Source organism: Homo sapiens, chromosome 2 (genome assembly GCF_000001405.40).
Source record: "Homo sapiens chromosome 2, GRCh38.p14 Primary Assembly".
Taxonomy (NCBI): domain Eukaryota; kingdom Metazoa; phylum Chordata; class Mammalia; order Primates; family Hominidae; genus Homo; species Homo sapiens.
In genome coordinates this window covers 99,098,651-99,121,354 of record NC_000002.12, presented here as the reverse complement: position 1 = coordinate 99,121,354, position 22,704 = coordinate 99,098,651, and the positions used below count along the sequence as shown (strand labels likewise).

General features: G+C 35.2%; 1 protein-coding gene and 1 pseudogene across 23 annotated transcripts in view; one reads left to right on the top strand and one right to left on the bottom strand.

The window, feature by feature from the left end:
- Positions 1-22,704, top strand: part of TSGA10 (testis specific 10) — a 157,706-nt gene that overhangs the window by 33,612 nt on the left and 101,390 nt on the right. For 12 of the 23 annotated variants that reach the window (XM_047445934.1, XM_047445931.1, XM_047445932.1 and 9 more), the window contains 7 exons: positions 3,596-3,811; positions 10,440-10,505; positions 11,799-11,966; positions 12,364-12,522; positions 15,658-15,828; positions 15,919-15,996; positions 17,237-17,388. In XM_047445934.1, coding sequence (XP_047301890.1) covers positions 11,916-11,966; positions 12,364-12,522; positions 15,658-15,828; positions 15,919-15,996; positions 17,237-17,388 — 611 coding nt within the window. In that variant the 5' untranslated portion in view covers positions 3,596-3,811; positions 10,440-10,505; positions 11,799-11,915. Of the gene's footprint in view, positions 1-903; positions 936-2,553; positions 2,579-2,668; positions 2,805-3,595; positions 3,812-10,439; positions 10,506-11,798; positions 11,967-12,363; positions 12,523-15,657; positions 15,829-15,918; positions 15,997-17,236; positions 17,389-22,704 lie in introns of those variants that run through there. The other 11 variants (NM_025244.4, NM_001349014.1, NR_146001.2 and 8 more) reach the window with 8 other exon arrangements.
- On the bottom strand, positions 18,272-19,342 carry SMC3P1 (SMC3 pseudogene 1; annotated as a pseudogene).

The window sequence follows — 22,704 nt, the reverse complement described above, 5'->3', positions numbered from 1 at the left end:
CTAAAATAAAAAATAGTGACAATACCAAATGCTGGCAAGGATGAGGAGAAACTGGATCACTCATCCATTCCTGGTAAGAATATGAAATGGTACAGCCACTCTGGAAAATGATTTGGCAGTTTTTGGTAAGACTAAACATACATTTACCATACAACCCAGCAGTTGTGCTCCTGGGCATTTATTCCAGAGAAAGGAAAACTTATATCTACTCAAAACTTATATCCTACTCAGTTGTTCATAGCGGCTTTGTTATATTCCCAAACTGGAAACAACCAGTTTTCCTTAATTGGTGAATGGTTAAACTGTGGTATTCCATACCATGGAATATTATTCAGCAATAAATAGGAATGATCCTATTTGGTTCAAATAACAACTTGCGTGGATCTAAAGGACGCTGTGCTGAGTGAAAGAAAGCAATCTCAAAAGATCACATGCTCTATGATTTTGTTTATGTAACATTCTCAAAATGACAAAATTGTACACATTGGTGGGAAGAATTGAGGGCGGGGAAGGAGAATATAAAGGGGCAGCAGAAGAATGGTCTCGTTGTAATGGAACAGTTCTATATCTTGAGGTGGTAGTTACAGAGATCTGCACATGTGAGAAAAATCATATAGAACACCATGCACATGGTGTATCTGGGTATGATATACTATGTTGTTTATGACACAACTATCAGCGGAAACTGAGTAAAGGGCGTATGAGACTTCTCTGTACTACATTTGCTTCCTGTGAATCTTATTTAAAAATAAAAATTTTTAACAAAACTAATTGAGTACCTATAATACTGGAAATTTTACTTGAGCTCTTATATAATGTCTAATGACAATTCTGCAAATTCTAGGCATTCTGTCCCTTTAACAGAAGAAACTCAAGAGACTCTCATTTATTTTTTTTCTTAAGTCAGGTGCATCTTCTAGGATCAAGAAAATATGGTAAATTCCCCAATTACATAACTGGTAAAGAACTACAACAGGATTTAAACCTAACTCTGCCGAAGTCCAGAGCCCATATCCTTTGTGTTACTCCAGACTGCCTCTTCTAAAGTACTTTTGTCTTGGAATTGAGTAAAAGTAAAGTTCATGAGAGAAGGGAGGGGAGTGTTCATTTATATTACTAATAATTTGTTTTATTTGCTTACTTAATAATTTGAGGATTATATGTGAGATACGTAATAAATGATGCAGAAACAAGTGATGTGTTGATACAGAAATGAGACAATACAGTCTTTTAAGTTGTTTAGAATCTAGTAGAAGGGACAGGGAAATAAATGATTTTAATGCATCTTATAAAATATTGAGATAAACTTATATAAGAGGCTTTATGGGCACACATACTGGAAAGGAGAAGCACCAAGAACATCTCCTGGTGCAGTGGGAAGTTAACAGACATTTTTAGTGTGCTCTTGTTGCTGAGAAACATGGCATAGGAAAAGCCACGAACAAAGATGAAAAACACAACTTGAAGTTTATCTGTTTCACGTCCTGTAGTTTGTCTGTTTGTTTTAAAAGAAAGTAGCTGAAATAATAAGGGTAGGGTAAAATAAGTAAACAGTGAAAGCCTGGGATGACAATAACGAACAGATCATTGTACCTAGTTTCTGTGCATGTTGCTAGAGGTGGGCTTTGGATTAAGCTTTAAAATTTCTAGAGGCAAAGGCAAATAGAAATATTAGTTAAATAATTAATGATTGTTAGGGTAAGAACAAACCAGGTTTCCAAAAAAGGCACGTATTTTCCTGAAATTGAAGCCTAAGTAGGGTTTTCCTTGAGGATTCTCATAAGGAGGGTTCTTTGATAACACTTCAATTTCAAGTGTGTACATTTCAATAACTCCCCTAAAAGAAGTTTTTAAATGAATTTAATGAGATTGTTTTTTATAGTGTGTCTGGTGGTGGGAAGTTAGGTTGGACAGCTAAGTCGAGTTGGATCATAAATGGCATTTTAAAATTTCATTCTCAGTGTCATGAGGCAACATAAGGTTATAGGAATGACCTCAAATTTGCATTTTCGAAGAATTTTTGAGAGCAGATGGGAGAAGGCCAAAAGAGAAGAGAGTAGGAGACACTGGATTAAAATAATGACTTTAATTATGCCTCTTGGTGGGCTATTTACTGGGTACAATAAATGGCATTGTAGCATATTTAAAAATAATTCATGACTTAGGATATTTTTATGTAGTGACAACTTATAAAGTTTTTTTGAAGACAACTTTGTTTTTAATGGTTTGGAAGACGATAACTCTATAGCTGTTTGAAAAGGGCAACCTCAGGGCAAGAATAATGCTAGAACTAAGAGGTCAGGTATTTAGCAATTTCAGATGCTCCTTACAGACTGAAACTTCTGTGTGCGAGTGTTTTTTTTTGTTGCTGTTGTTTTTAATGCATCTTTTACAGGGTACTAACACAGTATCTTAGACACAATAGGTGCTCAATAAATATTTGTTAAATACACAATGAGAGACAAGTACTATGGAAAAGAATTTGTACCATGACTTTACCTCGTAGTTATTTTTGTTATTGCACTTAACATGTTGTCTTTGTATTTCCTCAAGTAAACAAAGAGTTCCCTGAGGGCAGGTATCTAACCTATCTTTGTATTTTTGGAATTTAATATAGTTCCTGACATAATCATTGTTCAATGGGTCTAATTTTTTTTTTCCTTTAAAGGCATTTGGATACCTTTGTGATAGAAAAGGCCCTTTTCTTCATCCATTGATGGTTTGATAGTGGGCTGGGAAGGAAAGCTGTGTTCCTCCACATTAGGCAGCAAATACTTGATTGATTTGATATTTAGCTTAGTCAAGTAAGTTACTGATACTTTCAAAAGGACTTTTTAAAAAGTTAATAATACACATATATATACGTATATATATATGTATATATACTTTTTTTTTTTTTTTTTTGAGATAGAGTCTTGCTGTGTCACCAAGGCTGGAGTGCAGTGGCAGGATCTGGGCTCAGTGCAATCTCTGCCTCCCAGGTTCAAGCAATTCTTGTACCTCAGCCTCCCAAGTAGCTGGGACTACGGGCACTCGCCACCATGCCCGGCTGATTTTTGTATTTTTAGTAGAGATGGGGTTTCACCATGTTGGCGAGGCTGGTCTCAAACTCCTGACCTCAGATGATCTGCCCGCCTCAGCCTCCCAAAGTGCTGGGATTACAAGTGTGAGTCACCATGCCTGGCCTAAAAGAGTTAATATATTTTAATAACAATAATTAGAAATTTAATTAAAAGAACTCTTAATGGTATTAAAATTAATTTCAAAGCTATTGAAGTTTCTTTATTGCAGATATAAATATTTGGCCATTTTTCTAATAGATTGGCTAAAAATCAATAGTAATTAAGTTCTTTTTAAAATAAACTATAAATTGTCTTGAAAGATATTGCTATAAAATTTAAAATGTTTATTTAATATATTTTTTCAAATAGGTAATACATTCACATGGTACAAAATTCAGAAGGCACAAAAAGGTATAGAGTTAAGTTTCTTTGCCAGGGAAGCAAATCTCCCTTCCTGATTCCAGTCACACAGCTGCTCCCCAGAAAAAAGCTAAGGAATTATTTTAATGTGATTTTTTTTCTGATAATAACAGATTGAAGATCTCAAACAGACAAATCATGGCTTGGAAGAATATGTTAGGAAACTCTTGGATAGTAAGGAGGTGGTAAGCAGTCAAGTAGATGATTTAACCAGCCACAATGAGCATCTTTGTAAAGAATTGATTAAAATTGACCAACTAGCAGAGCAACTCGAAAAAGAGAAAAATTTTGTGGTGGATTCCGCCAACAAGGAACTTGAAGAAGCCAAGGTACCAGATTTACCACGGATAAGGATTTTAATTTTACTTTAAACATCATGTAATTTTTAAATGCAATGGAAAAAGTAGCATTCTCATTTGTATAATTTGGAAGCTTTTTAGATTTGACAGTATATTTAAATGTCTGTTCTAAGGATTAAATTGTTTCTCACATTTTACTTCTTTTAACAAATTCTACTCAAAACATTTCCTAAGTAATATGCAGTCATTGTAAAAAATTTGAAAGCAACAGGAATGTTCCGTGAACTAAATGTTGCTCCCACTTCCCAATTCCTCTCTCCTCTGCAGAGATATCTACAAACTAATAGATACATTTATTTTCGTCTATTTTCACATATGTAATTGATTTCAATACCCATTAAAAAAGATTTTTACCAAACTAAAAATAGAACTGCCATGTGATCCAGCAACACCGCAGCCGGGTATACATCCAAAAGAAAGGAAATCAGTATGTCACAGAGGTATCTGCACTTCCGTGTTTATGGCAGCACTATTCACAATAGCCAAGATATGGAATCAAGGCTGGTTAATTGGTACAAAAATACAGTTATAGAGAAGATATAAATTCTAGTGTTTGATGGCACAGTAGGGTGACTATCATTAACAATTTATTGCATATTTAAAAATAGCTGAAAGAGAAGATTTGGAGTATTCCCAGAACAAAGAAATAATTTTTAAGGTGATGGATATCCCCATTACCCTGATTTGATCAGTATACGTTGATGCATGTATTAAAATATCACATGTACCCCATAAACATGTACCATTATTATGTATCAATAAAAAGTCAATTTAAAACTTTTTTTTAACTAACATTTGAAAATTTGCCAATCTTTTTTTTTTCTTACTGATGTCTGAGATTTGGTTCTTGTTCAGGAAGGTTTTTTTTTCACCTCAAGAACTACAGATATACTTTCTAAAGTTTTCTTTTAATACTTTTTAATAGTTTTCCTTCTGTTGATACTGCTAGTTTCTTTTTGTTCTAATATGAGGTAGGGTTGCCTAGTCCTTTCTCCACTGACTTGACATATCATTTTAACAGATACTAAATTCTCAGATATCTGTGACTTTCTGGACTATTTGTTTTCATTGATTCATTTGCCTTTTTCTGTGCCACCATCACATTGTTTTAGTTACTGTAGCTTTATGATATTTTGATCAACATTTTTTTTCTTGATTGAGTACTTTGCCATGAAATTTAGAAACTAGAGATTAAATGTAATTATAAAATGACAGTCTCACTTCTCCATTGCTGCCTAATGGCTGATAAGCAAGATAGAGCATATTTGAAGGCCAAAAAACAACCTGTTGAATTTTTAAATGATAGCTTGTGAACATGCTTATTTGTCTTGATTTTATTAATCACCAAATTAGTAAATTGTGTCTGTAACAGAGTAATTTCCCAAAGCTAATTGTTATTACGTGTTATTTCTTAAACATTCTTTTAATGTAACAGGACTCTTATAGCAAATAATAAAGCAATTAAATTATCAGGTGAAACGTTATTGAAGTCACTGTTAAAGTAATTTGAAATATGAGTCCAATTGATGACCTCTAGGATTGTATGTATTTTTATGCAGTAACCTCATTGAGACTGCTTAATGGATGAGTTTAAATTAGTGGAAAGTCAAATAATAGAACTTTTTTGTTGTTGTTGAGACAGAGTTTCCGTCTGTCACCCAGGCTGGAGTGCAGTGGCGCGATCTCGGCTCACTGCAACCTCCACCTCCCGGGTTCAAGTGATTTCCTGCCTCAGTCTCCCGAGTAGCTGGGATTACAGGCACCCACGACCACACCCATCTAATTTTCATATTTTTAGTAGAAATAGGGTTTCATCATGTTGGCCAGGCTGGTATTGAACTCCTGACCTGAAGTGATCCGCCCACCTTGGCCTCCCAAAGTGCTGGGATTACAGGCATGAGCCACCACACCTGGCCATAATAGTGCAATATTTAAATACACGAGTTATTACTTTAAGGATACAGTCTTCTTTAACCATGTTGTCTGGAACAGGTCCTTAGAACTGCTTGAAATACTAGATAAGAATGATTTGTTTTTAACTTTTGAATTATTTATCTTCAAATGGATGCTGTTAAAGTATTTGAAGGATATTTAAAAGTAGCTTGAATATTTTAAACATTTTTCAATACTTTTGTTTGTATTGTTACTTTAAAATTTTTTTTAACTTAATTTTTTAATGCCACTTCAGGTGGAATGTATTGTTACTTTTTTTAAAGTAACATTCACAGTTTAATGGTAAATTGATTTCCATCTGTCTTAATTATAAAAATTATCAAAATTGGGCCAAGCATGGTGGCTTATGCCTGTAATCCCAGCACTTTGGGAGGCCGAGGCAGGTGGATCGCTTGAGGCCAGGAGTTTGAGACCAGCCTGGTGAACATGATGAAACCCCATTTCTACTAAAATGCAAAAAAATAGCTGGGCGTGTTGCCATACGCCTGTAATCCCAGCTACTTGGGAGGCTGAGGCACAAGAATAGCTTGAGCCTGAGAGACAGAGGTTGCAGTGAGCCAAAATCACGTCACGCTCTAGCCTGAGCAAAAGAGTGAGACTCTTTATCTCAAAAAAATATATATATATCAATATTGAAGAGTTTTAGTATGTCTTCCTTGTTTTTGTTTTCAAATTAAAAATTAACTGCACTCCTTCCCAGACTGCGGGAAACCAAGTTGACTGAATTCCAACAATGAGAATGCCCTGTTTAGAAGTCATCACATCACTTTTAAAGGGTTGTTAGGGTTTATGTTCTAGAGAGAGTAAGTACTATGTCAGGGTAAATTCTCTGCTTTCAAAAGGAAGAATTTTTGGAATGGAAAACATCTAAAATATAAGAGCTAGGATTTACCTAAAACTGTAAGTATTAAATTTACAGGTGGAATTTTGCCTGGTTTGGCAAAGAGTATTTCTAGAAAATAGATCTTCATAAATAATGTGGAATGTTGGGTGTATTTGAGGGTTGGAAAGCTATTGGGTGAAAAAGAGGTAAGCAGTAAGTCTTGGAGTAGAGATACCATTGCTGACACAGGAAAAACATCAGAAACTTAATAAAGAGAGAACAAAATGGAAATAGGCCTTTGGGTTGGTAGAATGCCCTGAAATGAGGAAATCACCAACCTCAGTTAAGTGAATGTCCCCAAGTAGAATGGGGATTAGAAAGATGCAAAACCAACACTGGGGATATGAACTCCAGTGTGTGTTGTCATCATCCTAAGACATTAGATATGCATTTTAGGTTTATATTTATGTGGGAGAGATTCCTTGCCTAATTTGTGGGGTGGCACTTGAAACAAGATTTCTAATTCGATTGCTGAGAAAAAATATTTGGGTTTCTAGTGTTTAAGATTATACTCTGGGTATGCGGAGGTAGAGTCTGAGGCTAAAGCTACTGTTAGTTTGTCTGGAATTGAGATAGTATTAAATGTATTCACTGGGAAGTATTTACTTTTAGTCTTATTTTTAAAGGTCAACAGTAACTTCTTCCATGATTTACTTCATTAAAATATTTTCAATATTAACTATTGGCTATTGCTATGTAATTACTTTGAAACCTTAATGCCTTCAAACAACAAATATTGATACCTCACAGGTTCTTGGGTTGGGAATTCAAGAGTGGCTTAGCTGGGTTGTTCTGGTTCACTGTTTCTCAGGAAATTGTTATCAAGATGATGGCCAGGGCTGGTGGTTTACACCTGTAATTCCAACACTTTGGGAGGCCAAGGCAGGCAGATCACTTCAGGTCAGGAGTTCAAGACCAGCCTGACCAATATGATGAAACCCGGTCTCTACTAAAAATACAAAAAACTAGCTGGGCATGGTGGTGGGCACCTGTAATCCCAGCTACCCGGGAGGCTGAGGCCAGAGAATTGCTTGATCCCGGGAGGCAGAGGTTGCAGTGAGCCGAGATCACGCCACTGCGCTCCAGCCTGGATGACAAAGAGAGACTCGATCTCAAAAAACAACAACAAAAAAGCTGATTGCCACAGTCATGGCTTGACTGCTACTGGAGGATCTACTTCTAAGATGGCTCACTCAGATGGCTTTTGGCTATTGGCAGGAGGCCTGTTCCTTGCTAGGTGGACCTCTCTCTAGGGTTGCTTCATGTATTCTTTGTGGAAGTTTATTCTCCCTCCACCTTCCCCTCTCCCCCAGCCAACAATCCAAGAGATAATAAGGAGGATCTGCAGGGCTTAGCATGACCCAGTCTCAAAAGTTATATCTCATCACTTCCTCCATATTCTAATCTTTAAAAGTGAGTCACTAAGTATAACCCACACTCTAGGGGAGGGAAATTAAGCTCCAGCTATTGAAGGAAGGAGTATTAGAATTTGTGGACATACATTAAAACCACCTCAACTATATGCCTTCGTTTATTCTCTCATCTTGAGTTGTTTATCATTCATGTGTTAACATGGCATTTCCCAGATAATTGAACATGACACTATGAAATGTGAAGCAGAATTAAAATTTTACCATTATTTCTTCCTATAATTTATATTTTTAATTGACCTAGGGGCTATGTTACTGGACTGGATCTCTGATAGTCCTTATCATTATTGTTACTTTTGTGTGTGATTCAATAAAAAGTATTTCAGAGCCCGCTGTGTGGAAGACATTGTGTAAAGTCTTTGTTTGTCCCCCACAAACAAAGGGTGGGGTGGGGGACAACAAAGACTTTACACAATGTCTTCCACACAGCGGGCTCTGAAATACCCATCCCCACATTCCCTGCACACACTCCCTGTCTTTCTCCTTCGCTTTATTTTTCCCTGTAGCACTTTGCTGTTCCTTTCCCCTTCCCTCACTGTGCTCCAGCCATGCCGGTCTCCATACTTAGAACCAACCAGACCTTCTTTTGCCTTAGGACCTTTGTTAGAGCTGTAACTTTTGCCTGCAATGTTTTTTGCCCAGATTTTCACATGATTGACTTCCTTTCCTCTGAAGTTTTTGGTCAAAGGTCACCTTTCAATGAGGACTTCCTGACCACCCTATTTAAAATTCCAACCTGTTCCTCCATAAATATTCCCAGTATCCTTAACTCTGCTCTTCTTTTTCTAGTATACTATATAATTATTTGTTAGGTTTATTATTGTCTATTCTAGCTGGAATGTAGAATCCACAAAGGCAGAAATCTTTGTCTCTCTTGTTTACTTAACTCAAGTGCTTAGAACGTGAGCGCTCCTTGTATTATTTTTTTGAGGGATGCAATCACTAACATATTTTGACTATTATCTTTTGTTTTTCTTTTTTTGGCTAGAATATATACTACATGAGGGCAGAGATTTTTACCTTTTTTATTCATTACTTTACCCAGCACATAACACAATGGCAGGCAGGTAGTAGGCATTCATTAATTGTTAAGTAAGTGAAAACACTGAGTTAGCAGTTTTTCATTTGGGCCAGTTATTTTGTTTTTCAGAGTGGAATCAACATTTTTTTAAATCACTGTAAAATTAATGCATATTTATTATACAAAATTTTAGTCCATATAGAAAAGTAAATGAAGAAAATAACATCTACCATAATCATACCTTGTTATACCTAGACATAATCTTCAGTTTATTTGGTTATGTTTATATGTAGGATGTCTGCGTATAAATTTATTTTTTATGAGAATGTGTCATACCAGATACTCTGTTTTGCAGAGTGAATTTTTATACTTAATGTGGAAATCTTAACACATTCAGAGTAGACCTGTATCTTTTTAGTGTCTACTTAGTAGTATACATTAAAACATTGAAAATTGTCTATTCAAGGCTATACATAAGGTTATCCAAACTCTATGTAATTATGTTCTATTTCTAAGTACTTCACTTGTGAGAAAAACGTTGCAAATAATAGCACCCCTTAATATTTCATAAACTTAAAATATGACTGCCAGAAAAATCGTAGAAGAGAACGTTGGTCTAAAGGACAAATGAAGTACAATAATTCCAGAGAATTCAAATTAAAAATGTAGTAGGCAAGATCAGGATGCAGTTTAGAATAATGAGGGAAAGGTTGATGAATTGCAAAATACATTAAGTGAATATGCTATTAGCAAAGAACTTTACTGCTTTGCATAAAAACTTAGTCACTGTCCTGTAGGAACATATAATGTAGTCATATGCTAAATATATGACTATAGGTACCTATCTTATAAGACTGGGTATGTTCACTGTCATAAATTGATACAAAAAGTATTTTGTGGATTGAATTGAACTAAGCAGTTGAGTTCAGAAGAGAAAGCAATCTTTTCTGAATGGGGTAATTTGGGTCAACTTATTTTATTCTAGTCATTCTTTTATTGCTTTCCTATTATCTTCAGAATTGTAATTAGTACTAACATTTTGTTCCAGTTTATGGGGAATAATTTGGTAAAATACAATCAATTAACATTTTATACAAAAGATTGAATTTAAGAGAATTGTTATTTCATTCTGGGTAAATCATCTTTTATCTTTTATCATCAAAGGTTGCTAAACAGGTTATTTCTTCTTTAAAATATTCACTGCCTTCATGTTTTTATTTTAAGTGGCTTCCTTTTTTTTGATGTTCTTTTTCCAATTAGTTTAAACATCTTTAATAGAAATAATTTTTTTTTTTTTTACTTTTTCTTCAGATTGATCTCATTTGCCAGCAAAATAATATTATAGTATTGGAAGATACAATAAAAAGGCTTAAATCTGTAAGTACATTTTTCATAAATATGTGTTACGGAATCATTTTTATTTGGTCAGTAAGCTATAAAAAATTATATCTTTGGCTCTCACACGTTTTGTGAGGAATAAAATATGTTTGTTTTCTAAAATCTGCACCAACTGCTAGGGACACAGGGGAACCCCCATCTGTAAGAGTGACTTTTTTTTGCTGCTTTCATCACTATTCCTTTGTTTCCTAGAGGCAAAGAACAACTTTTGGTTGGTTTTATTAATGTCCTTATCTGTTAATTGATTTAAAATGATGACTGAATAATTCTCAAAATATGAAGTTTGTTTACACATTAACTTTTATCCCCCTTAATAGTAAATACTTTTAAGCCATAAATTTTGTTACATAATTCCAAACAATGTTTTATTTATCTAACAATGTGAAATGAAAACTGTTCTGTTTAAACATTTTAGTGTTATTTAAAATATTTAAAACCCTCTATCTGAAAGTATATCTATAATTTTCTCCCAATAAAGTATTGTTAAATAAATGTTGTCAAAGAAGTGTTTCTAAATATATGAAAGTGAATGCAAATTTGTGGGAATGCTTACAAGTATGGAATATCCAGCATTCAGTTAATTTATTCACGCATTGAACAATATTGGACAAAACTTAGATGCTATAACAGTTGCTTTAGTAGTAGCATGTGTTTTTCTTCTTTTGAGATGGAGTCTTGCTTTGTTGCCCAGGCTGGAGTGCAATGGCGCATTCTCGGCTCACCACAACCTCCGCCTCCCGGGTTCAAATGATTCTCCTGCCTCAACCTCCCAAATAGCTGGGACTACAGGTGCACGCCACCATGCCCAGCTAATTTTTTTGTATTTTTAGTAGAGACAGGGTTTCACCATGTTGACCAGGCTGGTCTTGAACTCCTGACCTCATGATCTGCCCGCCTCGGCCTCCCAATGTGCTGGGATTACAGGCATGAGCCACCATGCCCAGCCTAGTAGCATATGTTTTTCTAAAGCAAATCCATGCCATTTCTAGGATGTGTGCTAGGTCTGTGGACATTTCTGGCCTCTCTAAAATTTCTTTACCATTTTTTCTCCAAAATTATCTTTCAGTTAAAATATAGCATACCCAGAAATCCTGGAAAAGAAAGATATCTAACTGCTTTTTAAAAATTACTGATATATAATTTTTTAAATGTTGTATTTAAAAAATACCAAATTAAATGTTTTTAAGGATCCTGTTTGTTTTCAATTTCACTTAGAAAATGATGCTATAGTTTAGCTTGAAATAATGGTCTAATTTTTTCCTCTTTGGCAAGATAATTTTAGATACTGAAAAAGCACAAAATAAATCTCCTTCTAGACTTGATTCCTTTGTCAAGACTTTGGAAGCAGACAAAGATCACTATAAGAGTGAAGCTCAACATTTGAGAAAGATGATGCGAAGTAGGTCTAAAAGTCCAAGACGCCCATCACCAACTGCCCGGGTAGGTTTTATAAACTTACAAATATTTTGGAGTTTGTTGCCCAGACACTGGCTTTTATTCTTTGTTTTACCTAATTTGAAAATAATTTGTTTTGATTTGCTGTGAATTGCTGTTTCAAAGGGGTTGAGAGACAGAGGTCTCTTTGATGGCACAGTAGACTACTGATATTGGTTCTTTATCCTCAGCATAATTAGCACTTGGGAGGTAATCAGGCAAATGTGGAATAATTTGGAATGAAGCTGTTTTAAAAAGATGTGGTTTTTAAACTTATTTTTTATAATTTCCTTTCATTATATAGTCTTATTTTCTTAAATAGAAATTGGGCACTACCATCAGTAGCACCTTTCTATCAGTACTATATATCAAAGAAGATTTCAAATTCCTTATATAATTATAGGGTGCAAACTGTGATGTAGAACTTTTGAAGACAACAACAAGAGATCGTGAAGAACTTAAATGCATGCTGGAAAAATATGAGCGCCATTTGGCAGAAATTCAGGGTAATGTCAAGGTTCTTAAATCTGAGAGAGACAAGATCTTCCTTCTTTATGAACAGGTAAACTTACAAAAAACAAATTATATAAGTAATAACATTGAGTTCTAGAGTTATGTAATTCTTCTTTGAGTTTTATGAGACTGCTTAAACCTGCAAATCAAGTTAATCTAACATTTGGGGATTACATATGTTTTTAAGATATTCTTAATGAAATGTAGTACATTTCCAATACAGTAGGTATGTGAGTACACACGTATGTTATCCCCATAGCCAAAAATCATACACATGTATAAAAATAGTCTTATTTTTGGAATAAGATATGAAGAAACCGTTAAATGATAAGTTGTTATGAGTTCAAGGTAAAAAGATCAAATCCTGACCTTTTTACCTTGAACTTGCCACACCTTATCACATCACTTTAGGAACTTTTATATAATTTGCTTAATTTTAGAGAATAAAAGAAGTATGTAGTTTATCTCTGCTTTCTAGCTTAGAATTGCATAGCTTTTATTAATCAAATACCTTCTTTAACCCAACAAGTATTAAATCCTATAAATCACCCATATAACTTCTTTTAAAAGTATCACAATTTTTTAACAAATTATAGCTACTATACACAGGGTTCTAGGCTCACTACTCTAAGGGATAGAAAAATGATAAGATGCTGACCATGTTTTCCTATAAATTTACAGTCTAGTTAGGGAGATAAAGTATATTGTATTTATTGATTTTTATTAAGTGGTCTAGAAGATATTATAAGAAACAAAAGAAGTGGGCATTTTTAGATATGGTGATCAAGGAAATCTTTATTAAAAGATACAAAGTGTGAGCCCTGAAAAATGAATGGAGTTTCTATTACCCTGAAAGGGGCTAGAAGGAACAATCCAAACTAAAGGAATGGTATGAGGCAAAGGATAAAGGTAGGAAAATCAGCAGATAAATAAATTGGTTTAAGACTAGAATAGAGGGTATGTGTCAGTGGAGAAGGGAGAGAGCTAAGACTTGAAAGGTAAGATTGCACTAGAGCAGGAATCAATATACTTTTTCTGTAAGGCCCAGACAAAAAATATCTTCTGCTTTGCAAGCCATGTGGTCTCTGTTGTAACTAATCAGCCCTATTGTTGTAGGGTGAAAGCAGCTTTGGACAATACATAAATGAATAACTTTGGCTGTATTACAGTAAAACTTTATGGATACTGAAATTTGAATTTCACATCATTTTTACTTGTTTTAAAATACTCTTTTGATATTTTCCCCAACCATTTAAAAATGCAAAAATATTTCTCCACTTACAGACCTACAGGAGGCAGGCTAGATGTGGCCTGTGAGTTATATATAGCTTGCTGACTTCTGGACTAAATGGTACAGGCTGTTCAATGGGCCTTATATGGGGTTTATATTTTGCTTCATAAGCAACAAACAATCTTTTTTTTTTAAAGGCAGGCAAAATATGAACAAAGTATCATTTTTACAATTTTACAATTTTAACCTTATGGCAAATTTTTATTTCTCACATAATCTTTCTATACTGTCTTCTTATTTAACAATTTCTCCTTTGAGAGAATTGATGGAGGGAGAGACCATGGACTCCTCTTTAGAAGGCTGTTACACTAGTGCACATATAAGGCATTAAGGGACTAAGCAAGGGTGTTTCAATGGAGATAAATATAGGGACAGATGCAAAAGACCCTGTGAAGGAAGATTTGACATGATTTGCTTTTAGGAAGAAGGAGGGTTGCATGACAGTGACTAAAATTCTGTCTTGAATGACTCAGCAATGTGGTAATAAAATAAAAAATAGGAGAGTCATTGGTGGTTTGAGGAAAAAGATGTGAGTTTGTTTTTAGACAGAGTAAGATAATGATAGCACACTCAGGTCGTAATTGCCATCAGACTGTAAGAAATGTGGGACTGGAGTAGAGAGAGGCAAGAGTTAAATAGTTAGCTTTGGAAGTCATCTGCTTAGAGGTGAGCTTCGAGCCTTCAGAGTGGATGAAGTCTCTGAATGAGAAAACTGTACATAGAGGAGCAGAAACGTTAAGTTATAATATTCAAGATGCAGAAGGGAACCTTTGAAAGAGACAAAGATGACAGACAGCTAGGGAGGAACAATGTTAAAAGGGAGGAAGGAATCTCAAGAAGAAGGATGTTGTGAGCAGCAACAGACCACTGAAATATCAAGGAGAACAGGAACTGAGAAAAGACCATTATATTTGGTTAGGTCTTTAGTTGAAATTCCACAGAAGGTGGGAGGGTGGGAGCCAGGTTGTTCTGGGGTGATAGAATGGATGGTAAGGAACCATTGGCAATAGTTATAGACCATGGGACTTTTTTTTTTTAATGTGTCGCAGGAAGAAGAGACATAGGATGGTAAATTGGTCAGCAGGATCAAGTGACAGGTTTTCAAGATAAGGGAGCACTGTACATGACTGAAGGCAGGGGAGAAAGTGCCAGTGGAGAGGGTACTATTCAAGATGAGAAGAAATAATTATAATTGAGTCAGGGAGATCTTAGAAGACACTTTAGGAGATGAGGTTTGGGGTTCTGGTGAAGGCTTAGCTGTGGAAATTGGGAAGTTATATATTTTCCTTTGGGGCTTGGAGACTATCTGAATAGACAGTGATCAAAATCAAGAGGAAAAGAGACCTGTGCAGCGAACTGTGATATTAAATAATCTGCAGGTTTGGAATAGATTTGGGACCCAAGGATGGTTGAACAGACGTGCAGAGACTCTGTTGGGTTATCAGTAAGGATTGGTGGGCCTTTCTGTCAGGGCAGAAGTAGCCAAGACATAGGAATGGCATATGCATTTATATTTAGGAAGACTGAAACACTATGATAATATTCATTAAACCGGTAGTCTGTCTAAATTGTGCTGAATTTAAATTTACACTACAAAATGAATAAATGGAGTATACCAAATATATTTCTTAGCAAAACATTCTCTGTTGCAATGACTTCCTCCAAATTAATTTTATTTTAGACTTTTGGCAAAGATGTTGTAACATGAACTTCTATTTAAATATATTCATTTTCATTTATTTGTATAAGCTTATTTTAAAATAAAAGCGATACCATTACCCTGCTGCATGCATGTTGATGTAGGTTTGCATTTTAACTGGCTAGATACATAAAATTTTTTATGTTTATGTGTTCTAAAGCTTGTTCAACCAAAGTCTATGATTTAAATAATAGGCACAGGAAGAAATTACCCGACTTCGACGAGAAATGATGAAAAGCTGTAAGAGTCCTAAATCAACAACGGCACATGCTATTCTCCGGCGAGTGGAGACTGAAAGAGATGTAGCCTTTACTGATTTACGAAGAATGACCACAGAACGAGATAGTCTAAGGGAGAGGCTAAAGGTTGGAAAGGATTTTATTTACGTGAATATATGTGAAACACAAATTCAGGGATATTGAAATCACTTTATTTTGTTTTTGCTTTTTAATCAGATTGCTCAAGAGACAGCATTTAATGAGAAGGCTCACCTGGAACAAAGGATAGAGGAGCTGGAGTGTACAGTTCATAATGTAAAAAAAAAAAAAAAGAAAAGTCTCTTTTGGCTATAAACACTCAATGGCTTTCCCCTTTCTCCTTTTTCTGTATTCAGAGAAGTTATTTTATTTTTCTAAGATAGTGTTTATAGTCCTAAAATACTTAAGGTATTTTATAGTGTAAATTGTCACTTTTTCATTTGTTTATTTCCTTCTAAAAATGTGAGTAAATGTTTTTTGGTGTTAGGTTGCAAAGTATGTACTTTAAAAAAATCATTAGGCATTCATTTTCAGGGATCTTATCTACTTTCTCATCTCCATATTTTGTTAAAGATAATATTGCCAGATGTAAAGAAAATGGTTTATTCTACCTAAAGAGTGGATAAGGAGAGAAAATTATGATGAAATAAAAATTATAAGCAAAGTTTATTTAAACTAAATTTAAATGTGAAACATCACCTTTTTCCTAATCAGATTTGATATTGCTACGAATATATATTGATGATATTGTCACTATATAAACATAAGAGAATTTAACTTTCTATTACCAAATATAATTGAATATATTTATAAGTTCATCTGTACTGTTTTATTGTAATGAGTTAAAAATATGAGATAGGGGCTGGGCACGGTGGCTCATGCCTGTAATCCCAGCACTTTGGGAGGCCAAGGCGGGTGGATCACCTAAGGTCAGGAGTTTGAGACCAGCCTGACCAATATGGTGAAACCCTGTCTCTACTAAAAATATGAAAATTTGCCAGGTGTGGTGGCATGCGCCTGTAGTCCCAGCTACTTGGGAGGCTGAGACAGGAGAATTGCTTGCACCCGGGAGGTGGAGATTGCAGTGAGCCGAGATCGCGCCACTGCACTTCAACCTGGGCGATGGAGCGATACTCTGTCTCAAAAAAAAAAAAAATTACTAGACAGGAGAAAATAATTTTTGTTTTCATAATTCTACATTATATGTGTAATTTATTAATGTTGGGCAACAAATAAATTCTTTTGCAAACAGCATATTTATACTATAGTCAAATTGAACCAGATTGAAAAATATAGACTGATATACTGTGATAAGCTTTACTTTGCAGTGGCTTTTCCTTGGTCCTACTTCACAACACCTTATCTGTAAAACCTTCTACAGCAGTCAGGTCTAACCTGATAATCTCATCCTGTCAGTCTTGCCATAAACCAGTTTGTACAGAGGGAGTATGCCCTTCAGGAAGATTACTAAGGTGTTTTTAGTGATGGCAGTAACCTTGTCATTCTACTTGTATAGCTTGATGATGAACGTATGGAGCAAATGTCAAATATGACTTTGATGAAGGAAACCATAAGCACTGTGGAAAAAGAAATGAAATCACTAGCAAGAAAGGCAATGGATACCGAAAGTGAACTTGGCAGACAAAAAGCAGAGAATAATTCTTTGAGGTAAACTAAATCACCTTTAAACAACCAACAGTTTACTATAACTATAGCTCTGCTTTTTATAGTGTATTTTATAATGAAAATTATTTGTTGAGTTCAGTTTCTGAGAGGATTATTGAAAAGCAGTTGTAGGAACCCTTGGCACACAGTGAACAATTTTCCTGAGCTCAATCACAGGCTGGTAATGCCACACTTAACTAGGAATCACACTTCTAGTAATCTTACTTTACATTTGTAAAAAACTTCAACTTTTAACTGAAATAGCTTTTACAAAGCTCTTCTGGGTACAGAATATATTTGACTTTGATTGTTTACCTTTATAACTTTAAATTCTGTTTGGGGATATGAACAGTATAAGAAAACACAAAGCACAGGTTTGGCAGTTGCTTAGAAAAAGGGTGATTTAGAATATAATGAAAAGCCGTAACAGAGAAATAGGAGCACGTGATGGAGCATCTATTAATTGAATGCAAGTACTATACTTAGCCTTTCCTGTGTACTGGCATGGTTGCCGAAGATGTATCAATTGAAGCAGCCTACAGCAATAAGCTTGGGAGAATGAGTTTTTGAAGACCTCTACATGAGTGGTTTTACTTTTAGTATCTGTTGCTGTGAGAAACAGAGGTTCTACAGATTCAGTAAGGTTGAATTTCATTGCATCTATGAACATTGAAAAATAGTAATAGCTTAATATCTAGGTGACGGGTTGATCTGTGCGGCAAACCACCGTGGCACATGTTTACCTGTGTAACACACCTGCATGTTCTGCACATGTACCCCGGAACTTAAGAAAGAAAAATAGTAGTTCACACTCCTATTAATGCTGAGATTACAGGCATGAGCCACCGGGCCTGGTCTTTCTTAACAATTTTTTTTTTTTTTTTTTTTAGTCATAAAACCAATTATTTAATTGAAGCTATAAAAAAGGCAGTATAAGCGATAAAATAATTAGGAAAGAATATTTAGCATGTTTCAAAACATTTAAAATAGGAGCAGAACATTTTACAAAAAGTTGTACAGGAAATTAAATTCTAAAACTGTAAGTACAAACATGACATTACAGAGTATCTTATAAAATACAAAGACAAATATAAAAGGACTATGATGCTTTAAGTCTGAAAACTATTGGCCAAATATTTAGGTTTATATTTACAGTTCTGGGTATGAGAATCATATTACTATACACAACTCCCAAACCAGTAAGTAGTATTTTCCAATTAACCATGTGTGGTATCATCTTCTACAAAGTCTTTGGCCATCTCCGCTGTGATCACATCAATATGACTAACCTTATTTCTGAACTTTACACCATAGAATTTGTCAGCTGACTCAAGCAGTTCAGGCCTAAAAGTAGTTGTAATAAACTGAGCATGTACAGCAAGTTCCATAATCATATCTGACACAGCCTTTCTGTGCTGAGCATCCAGAGCCTGGTCAATCTCATCAAACAAGTAAAATGGAGCCGGGTCACATTTCTGAATGGCAAAAATCAGAGCAAGGGCTACCAAGGATTTCTGTCCACCTGAAAGCTGTTGCATTTCTCTCATTTCACCTTGTTTTCCTGTAAATGACACCCTAATTCCAACTCCAGTAAACTGCTCAACTGATGGGACACTGCTTTGTGAGCTAGAACCCCTCTCACTCTCACCACTCCCTTCTCCTTCATCTTGAGACTGACTGCCCTCCACATCTCCTTTCTTCATCACCAAAGTAGCTTTGCCACCAGGTACTAACTTCTGGAATACTTCACTGAAGTTCTTGGATACCTGTTTGAAAGTTAACTGAATAGCTTCATATTTCCGAAGTTCAAGTATATTCATCAGCTCCATGATCGATTTGTAACCCCTATCTAACTCTTCTTGTCGCTTTATTAACTTTTCTTTCTGCTCAGAGAAATTTACAAACTGATCCAAAGCCTTTTTGTTAACATGGCTGTACTTCTTTAATTCTGTTAACAAAATTTTAAGTGTATAATCCGGTATTGTTAAATGTAAGAACAGTGTGGTAAAGCAGATCTCTAGAGTTTTTCGTGTTGCACAACTGAACCTCTGTATCCTTTGAACAGCACTCCCTATTTCCCCCTCCAGTCAATCCTTGGCAACTACCATTTTACTTTCTGTTTCTGAGTTTAACTGTTTAGAGACATCTTGTAAGTGGAGTATTGAGTAGTATTTCTCTGGTTGTCTTATTTCACTTAGCATAATTTCAGTGTTTGTCCACGTTGTAGCATATGACAGAATTTCCTCCTTTCTTGAGGCTGAATCTTTAGTTCTTTATCTTTTTGTTCTTTTCTCTCTCTCTCCTTTTGTTTTTATAATTCTTTGTTAATGTTAGCTCTCTTGATAGTGTCCCATATATCCCATAGGCTTTCTTCATTTCTTTTTACTCTTTTTTCTTTTTTATCCTCTGGGTATTTTCTAATGACCTGCCTTCAAGTTTACAAATTATTTTTTTCTACTTCATCTAGCCTACTGTTGATGTTCTCCAAGAAAGCTTGTCTTGGGCTGGGGACAGTGGCTCATGCCTGTAATCCCAGCACTTTGAGGGGCCAAGGGAGGAGGATTACTTGAGGCCAGGACTTTGAAATAAGCCTAGGCAACATAGCAAGACCTTGTCTCTACAAAAATAAAAGTATCTTTTTATTAACAGACGTTATTTATGTAGTCAGATTTATTCATCTTTCCCATTTGATTTATGCTTTTTTTTTTTTTTTTTTTTTTTTTTTGAGACAGAGTCTCACTCTGTCGCCCAGGCTGGAGTGCAGTCATGCAATCTCGGCTCACTGCAAGCTCCGCCTTCCCGGGTTCACGCCATTCTCCTGCCTTAGCAGGTGCCCGCCACCACGCCCGGCTGATTTTTTTTGTATTTTTAGTAGAGATGGGGTTTCACGGTGTTAGCCAGGATGGTCTCAATCTCCTGACCTCGTGATTCGCCCACCTTGGCCTTCCAAAGTGCTGGGATTACAGGCGTGAGCCACCGCGCCCAGCCTAATTTATGCTTTTTTTTTTTTTTTCACCCAGCCTAATTTATGCTTTTTTTTTTAACTGAGAAAATATTTTTGTACCTTAAGATCATGAAGGTATGTTCCTATATTATCTTCATATTTATATGTGTAATTTACCAGGAGTGTATTTTTTTTTTTTTTTTTTTGAGACGGAGTCTCGCTCTGTTGCCCAGGCTGGAGTGCAGTGGCACAATCTCGGCTCACTGCAAGCTCTGCCTCCGGGGTTCACACCATTCTCCTGCCTCAGCCTCCTGAGCAGCTGGGACTACAGGCGCCCGCCACCGCGCCTGGCTAATTTTTTGTATTTTTAGTAGAGACGGGGTTTCACCATGTTAGCCAGGATGGTCTCGATCTCCTGACCTCGTGATCTGCCCGCCTCGGCCTCCCAAAGTGCTGGGATTACAGGCGTGAGCCACCGCACCCGGCCCTACCAGGAGTGTATTTTTGTGTATGTTGTGAGGCAGTGGTCAAGTTTTGTTTTATTTTGCTTTTTAATACATGATTACTCAATTTTCCCAGTAATATTTGTTGAAAAGATTGTCCTTCACTGCTCTGCAGAGATGTTTTTCTTAAAAATAAATATCTATGTATGTGTTTATTTCTAGGGTCAATAATCTGTTCCATTTGTCTTTTACATGGTTCTTGTACCATTACAAAACTTTCCTAATTACTATAACTGTAAAAGTGTTAAACCTATAAGAACAAATCTACCTTGTTATTCATCAAGAAAGTCTTGACTATTGCCGGCCCTTTGCATTTTCAATTTTCATATAAATTTTAGAGTGAGCTGGTCAAAGTCCACCCCAAAAAAGAAAAACACTATTAAGATTTTAATGGCATTGAGTTGAATCATAGATTAATTTTTAAATCATTTATTTTTATGTTATTTGAGTCTTCTGGGCCACCATAAGCATTGTATATCTCTCTATATTTTTCAGTTTTGCTCTATAATGTTTCCTATTTTTTGTGTGTAGAGAGGTCTTACATTTATTTTGTTAAATTCGTAGGTACTCAGTATTTTGAGATGATTTTAACTGTTTTTAAAAATTGTGGCTGTTATGTAAAAATAAAATTGATTTTTGTATTTTGGTGTGGTATCCAACAGTCCTGCTAACTTTTCATTAATTTTAATAACCCACCTACAGAAGTTTTTTTATTTGTGTACATAAAATCATGTTATCTGCAAGTATTCTTTTCCTGCCTCTCTAATTCTTATACATTTTATTTTTCTTGCCTTGTTATATGTGAATTACTTCTAATTAACTATTCAATATATTTCTTGTAGGTTCTTTGATAACTATGTAATATTAGATTTAAGAAAATTTTCTCCTATTTTTATTTTGCCCAGATACTAAAAAATCATACATGAATGTTGAAATTGATCTGATAATTTTTATTCATGTATTTAGATGGTCACATTATTTTTCTCCCTTATTCTGTTAAAATGTGAACTTGCACTGATTAATTTTGTAATACTAAACCAACTTTACAGGGTAGAATAAATATAGATTGGTCACACTATATTATGCTTGTTACTTATTGTTGGTCTATGTTAACTAATACTTTGTTTTGTATATTTACATCTATTTTTGTAATTTAGATTGGCTGATAATTTACCTTTCTTATGGCTTTATTTTATTTTTTATTATTTTTGAGACGGAGTTTCACTCTTGTTGCCCAGGCTGGAGTGCAATGGCGCGATCTTGGCTCACCGCAACCTCCGCCTCCCAGGATCAAGTGATTCTCCTGCCTCAGCCTCCCGAGCAGCTGGGATTACAGGCACGCGCCACTACCCCCAGCTAATTTTGTATTTTTAGTAGAGATGTGGTTTCTCCATGTTGGTCAGGCTGGTCTTGAACTCCCGACCTCAGGTGATCCACCTGCCTTGGCCTCCCAAAGTGCTGGGATTACAGGTGTGAGCCATCACGCCCAGCTGTCTCTTATGGCTTTTTAAAATCAGATTTTGATAGCAAGGTAATGTAAACTCATACTATAATACTCTTTTCAATTCATTTTTTCTTCTGTCATTTTGTGGAACAGTTTGTATAAGATTGGAGTTGTAGAACTTACCAATAAAGTCATTTGGATCTCTTCTTTAAGGGAAGGTTTTATTTCATTTATTTATTAAAGAAATAATTAGAATTTCCTTCTTACGCAAGTTAGTATATATATGTAAGCAGTTTTCATTTTGTCTAAATTTAAAAGGATGTTTAGTATAATGTTATTTATAATATCCTGTGGACATTTGAATGTACATAGAGTCTGTAGTTATTTCCTGTTTTTCTATTCTGCAGTTGGTGGTTATTATTAGTTTT